We start from the raw sequence: 6,438 nt of genomic DNA on the forward strand, positions 1-6,438 counted from the left end.
AGAGTGTCATTGTGGCCCCCTGTTAGGATGTGGTCATATAGGGGCCAGATAAGAAATAAAGTTCTGGCCCAGATAAGGCTCATAGTGGGTCCACAGACACTCTCTGCCTGCATTGATCATTTCTCTCATTTCTGAATATAAAACTGGAATGAACATATTTGAGTTGGAGTAACCCCATATTGATCATTTGGGCTAGGGTTTATTATAGAATTATTGTACTGGAAAAAGCCAAGTGGTAGTTTCTGAAACTGCTACCCATTCCCCAGACAAAAGAGTACTCAGAAAAAAATTTTTTGCATCCCAATGGGAGTGGAAAGGTTAATATCAATCTTAAAGATGAAAAGAATGAAGGGTGGTAGACATGATCATCCCCCACCTTTTCTCACCAGCCCCCTACAAAGCCAGGCAGACTCTAAAGAATGACAGTTAACTACTGCAAACTCAACCAACTAGTAGCCCCAGTTGCAGCTACAATGCTATATGCTGCATATTTTCTTTTCTTTTTTTTTTTCTTTCTTTTTTTTTTTTTTTTTTTGAGATGGAGTCTCGCTCTGTCGCCCAGGCTGGAGTGCAGTCGCGGGATCTCGGCTCACTGCAAGCTCTGCCTCCCGGGTTCACGCCATTCTCCTGCTGGGACTACAGGCGCCCACCACCATGCCCGGCTAATATTTTGTATTTCGTTTAGTAGAAACGGGGTTTCACCGTGTTAGCCAGGATAGTCTTGATCTCCTGACCTCATGATCCGCCCGCCTTGGCCTCCCAAAGTGTTGGGATTACAGGTGTGAGCCACTGTGCCTGGCCTATATGCAGTATATTTTCTATAACAGATTAATATGACCTCAGGTATATAATGTGTAGTCATTGATTTGGTAAATGCATTCTTTTCCATCCCTCTTAGAAAGGAGGAACAAAAGCATGAAAAGATGGACAAAGGTTTCCATTTCTGGTTGTTTCCCAGGGGCTATGTTATCTCTCCTGCCCCTTATCATATTATAGTCAGAAGGGATCTGGACTAAAGATACAATTCTAAGGGTGTTATATTGGTTCACTCTACTGATAATGTATTATTCAGACCACATGAGCAAAATGTGATATGTTGGAGGCCTTGATAAGATACATTTTCTACAGAAGCAGGGAAATATATTCAATGAAGATGTAAGTGGAAAGGTAGGGCTGTCACACGGGTTTTTTGGCCTCCTTTTTCTAAGACATCAGCAGACAAGAAAAGGAGTCACTACCTTGGCAGGAGTTGATGGTTCCAATATATCTTCAATGATATATTCAATGAAGAATTATTATAGTTCTATCAGATCCACCAAGATATCAGATTGGATGGGTCCAGCAACAGTGCATCATAAGATGTGTGTGGTATGTTCAGCACTGGACATGTGCAGGACTAGAGGACAGATAAGCTTTCTGAGTGGGTGGCCCACATGTTCCTGTCATCCATCTCAACCACACTAGCACCTATCTTTGAGCTCATCCCTGTGACTATCTGAGTGTGTGATAGTTGTGATTGGTGGAGGTTCCTTATGACTAATTGACAAAGGAGGAAAAATACTGAGTTTGGATTATTTGGATTAAGTATCATGGTATGTTACTAAAGGCTGAAAATGGATGGTGGCTATCTTAGAACTCCTCTCAGATGTGATCCTGGCATTAGTAGTCAAGGGAATTCCACCCAGTGGGCAGAGTTTTGAATGGTACACCTAGTTAGGTGCACTTAGTTATCTTTGTGGCTACAGGTAAAAATATATATAGTACATTTAGGGTAATGATGAATGTCTTGCTGGTTTTTAGGGAACTAGAAGAAAAAAATTGGGCCAGACATGGTGGCTCACGCCTGTAATCCCAGCACTTTGGGATGCCAAGGCAGGTGGATCACTTGAGGTCGGGAACTCCAGATCAGTCTGGTCAACATGGCAAAACCCGTTCTCTACTAAAACTACAAAAAAAAAAAAAAGAAAAAATTAGCCGGCATGGTGGCATGTACCTGTAGTCCCAGCTACACAGGGGGCTGAGGCAAAAGAATTGCTTGAACCTAGGAGGCAGAGGTTGCAGTGAGCTGAGATTGCACCATTGCACTCCAACCCAGGCAACGCAGTGAAACTGTGTCTCAAAAAAAAAAAAAAAAGAAAAAGAAAAAGAAAAGAAAAGAAAAATGATTGGAAGATTGAAAACAAAGAGGTCTGGGAAAGAGTCATGTGGATGGACCTATAAGAGTGGGAAGAAAGTCCCTGTACACATTAAAACTCATTATAGAATATTCACCATGGAAAAGGCAATGAACAAATAAGCAGACAGAATGACCTTGCTGGTTTATATTAACCAGCCTCCATCATTAGCTACCCCAGTGCTGGCAGGATGGACTCATGGACAAGGTAAACATAGCAGCAGAGATGGAGGCTATCTATGCCTAACAGCATGGTCCCTCCCCGCTCAGTGGTGCCTGGCTACAACTGAATGTCCAACTTACTTGCAACAAAAATTAATATTGAGTATTGATATGATACAACATCATGAGGGGACCAATCCCATCAGTGGCAAGTGATTCATTTTGACTAGAATTAACACATATTCTAGGTGTGGGTTTGCCTTTTCTGGTCATAGGACTCAGCTAGTACTATTATCCAAGAACATACAGAATCATTGATCCACTGACATAGGATCTGGCATAACTTTACATGGGTTCAAAGGAGGTGTAGCAGTGAGCACATGACCATGGGATCCACTGGTTCTATCACACACTTAGCCACCAGGAACATGCTGGCCAGATAGAGCAATGGAACAACCTTTGAAAGCATAGCTAAAGTGCCAACTTACATATGATACCCTGAAACAATGGGGTGTCATCCTCCAGAGCAAAGTATAAACACCCTAAGACAATAATTATTATGTAGTGTTTGTTTCCTAGTATGCAACTATGCGTGCCTGGGAACAAAGGAGTAGAGGTAGAAGTAGCTCTGAATTCCCTCACTCCTAGAGACCCACATAGGGAAAGATGTGCTTTCTATGTACCCTCTTGATTCTAGGCTCCGTGAGTTCAAAAGTCTTTATTCCTAGAAGAACACTTTCACCATGACAAACAGGGAGTCCCTGTAAATGGAAAGGTAGGGCTGCCACACAGATTTTTTTGCCTCCTTTTTCTGACATCAGCACACAAGAAGAGGAGTCACCACCCTGGCAGAAGTTGATGGTTCCAATATCAAGAGAAGGTAAGGCTGCTGTTACACAGTGGGGACAGGGAAAAATGAAGTTTGTCACTCAAGTTATCCATTAGGTGTTCTCTTGCTTCTTGCTTCTCCTCAGTACAATCTTTTTTTTTTTTTTTTTTTTTTTTTAAACTGAGTCTCACTCTCTGTCTCCCAGGCTGGAGTGCAGTGTGCAATGGCGTGATCTCAGCTCACTACAACCTCTGCCTCCCAGGTTCAAGCGATTCTCATGTCTCAGCCTCCTGAGTAGCTGGGATTACAGGCACCCACTACCACACCTGCTAATTTTTGTAGTTTTAGTAGAGACGGGGTTTCACCATGTTGTCCAGGCTAGTCTTGAACTCCTGACCTCAAGTGATCCACCCATCTCAGCCTCTCAAAGTGCTGGGATTACAGGTGTGAGGCACGGCACTCAGCCTCCTTGGTACAGTCTTTATTATTAAATGGACAAGTGCAGCAGCCACAATTGAGAGGAACATAGTTACCAGAGTGTTTTGGTCACCTACAAGGTAAACTACCTAAATGAACAAAGATGATAGTAAAGGATGAGGGGAATCTAGAATGGATAGTAGAGGAGAGAGACAGTAAATATCCTTTATGACTTTAAGATATGCTACAACACTAGGAACTGTAAATCTTTCTACTAATCTATTCTTATAAATTTCCTCAGAAAGAAAGAATAATTCTGGAATAGTTATTTCCATTTCTTACTATACCAAACGAACAGGAGAGTAGGTAGCTGATGTCTCTTAATTGAGCCTGTCTCTGGGAATTTTCCTTGGTCAAAAAGTTGCCTCACAGAAGGTTACCTTCCTTCCACCTTATACCCCTTACATCAAGGCAAGGCAATTCTTAAGGACTGTCCCATCCCTTGAGCTCCTGAGAGGATCAGCTGGAGCCTCTCTTGTAACTGCACCACAGTTCAACTACTCTGCCTAGCCCTATTTCTTTAACTTCTTGTGTTATTCCTGAAAGCACAGCTCAGTAAAATTCTTGCTTAAAAATCCCAGAGTAACCTTATCTCTGATACCCTCTCTTGTTCACTCCACCTCAGCCAATCTGGCTCCCTTGCTGTTTCCTCTACCGGGAACACTTCCTTAGATATGCACAGGGCTAACCCCTTCATCTCCTTCAGATCTTGGCCAGAATGTCACTAGACTTACACCATCTTATTTGTATTGCAGTTAGCCCCCTCTCATGCCAGGACTTCTGATCTCTCTACCCTGATTTTCTTCTTTTTCTTCCTCTCCTTCCCCTTTTTAAAAATCGCAGTGCTTATCAACTTCCATTCCAGTTTATGTATTTATTTATTCTGCTTAATTCTTTTGTTTGTTTTTGTTTATTATTATTATTTTTTTGGCTCAGTCTCCCCTGGAACATTAGCTCTATGAGAACAGGGGTCTTTACCTTTTATTGCCCTTGTTATATCCTGAGCATCTAAAGCTATGTCTGGCCTAGACTAGTCAATTAACATTTTTGTTTATGTACAAGAGCTCCTACAGGGTAAGTACTTTGAAGCTGCTGGGCCAATGTGTGTATCATTTTCAGGTTTACCATATATTTCAACTTTACTATATATTTCAAAATTGCTTTTTTAGATGAGTGTACCAATTTATAGTCCCAGCAACTGTGTATGACAGTCTCAAAATTTTCACATTCTTATCAGCAAATGTTATTACTCAGGTGTTGGTATAAAATGATTTAAAATTTGCCTTTATTTAATTGCTAATGATTAACTGTATATGCTATGTTTATTGGTCATTCGAGATTCCTCTCTGGGAATTGCCTGTGCATATTTTTTGCCATTTTTTTTCTGTATGATTGTTGGCTTTTTTCTCTCTTATTCATTTGTAGATGTTTATTATATATTCAGTGGACTGATCCTTTGTTGACTATATGTGTTGCAAATATCTTCTCCCAACCTTTTAATTTAATTGTCTTTACCATTAGTTTCTAGTATCTTTTGATATAGTTTTAATTTTTAATGAGGTCAAATTTATTTATTGTTTTCCTTATAGTTTGTATGTTTATGCAGTTTAAAAGAAATCTTGTTTTACTTGAGCTCATAAAAAAATGATTCTATAGAAGCAAACTTGTGAATAGAAAAAAGAGCAATTATTCTAAATTTTCTTTTAAAAGTCTGAAAGTTAGCTGACTGGAATTGATTTTTTGTGCAACATATAAAGTAGAAACCCAATTTTATTTCATTTTTCCATTTAGATATCCAAATATTACAGTACTATTTGTCAAGTAGCTCCTTTATTCCTCACTGATTTGTAATGCAATTTCCACCATATATCAAGCATCCACACATACATGTTTGTTGCTCAGTCCTCAGTTCTGTTTCATTGGTCTATTTGTCTGTAGTTGTGCCAATACTATATTGTCTTAGCTGCTATAATTTTATAATAAATTATATAGGGCAAGTTTCTGCAGCTCCTTCATTTGTTTTAAAAATGTCTCGGATTCGTGACTCTTTCATTATTCCATATACATTTAAAATCAACTAGTCAAGTTCCACTGAGCACAATTGGAATCTTGATTTGCTTTGTACTGGATTTGTGTATCAATTTAGGAAGGAATGATATCTTTATGATATTGAGTTCTCATATATATAGGTGTATATACATGTCTCATATACAGGTGTATACACATGTCTTATATACATAGGTGTATATACATGTCTTATACATAGGTGTATATACATGTCTCATATACATAGGTGTATATACATGTCTCATATACATAGGTGTATATACATGTCTCATATACATAGGTGTATATACATGTCTCATATACATAGGTGTATATACATGTCTCATATACATAGGTGTATATACATGTCTCATATACATAGGTGTATATACATGTCTCATATACATAGGTGTATATATATGTCTCATATATAGGTGTATATATATGTCTCATATATATAGGTGTATATATATGTCTCATATATATAGGTGTATATATATGTCTCATATATATAGGTGTATATATATGTCTCATATATATAGGTATATATTTCAACTACTTATCCCTAATGAATAAAGTTACTAATGTTTCCATTCAGGTATCTTTTGTAAGTATTTGCTTCTGTGATAGATGTCTTTTAAAAATTCTATTTTTATAATTTTGATGGAGAATGTGATTGTGAACATGAATTTTAAAAAGTCCAGCCAACTTGCTAAACTCTCTTATTAATCATCATAATTTGAGTGTTAGA

The 6,438-nt window shown here is 38.5% G+C and overlaps 1 protein-coding gene across 11 annotated transcripts in view; it reads right to left on the minus strand.

The window, feature by feature from the left end:
• ZSCAN31 (zinc finger and SCAN domain containing 31) overlaps positions 1-6,438 on the minus strand; it is a 31,535-nt gene that overhangs the window by 18,290 nt on the left and 6,807 nt on the right. The gene's annotated exons all lie outside the window — the stretch shown is intronic.

The sequence above is a fragment of the Homo sapiens genome, chromosome 6 (genome assembly GCF_000001405.40).
Source record: "Homo sapiens chromosome 6, GRCh38.p14 Primary Assembly".
Classification (NCBI taxonomy): Eukaryota; Metazoa; Chordata; class Mammalia; order Primates; family Hominidae; genus Homo; species Homo sapiens.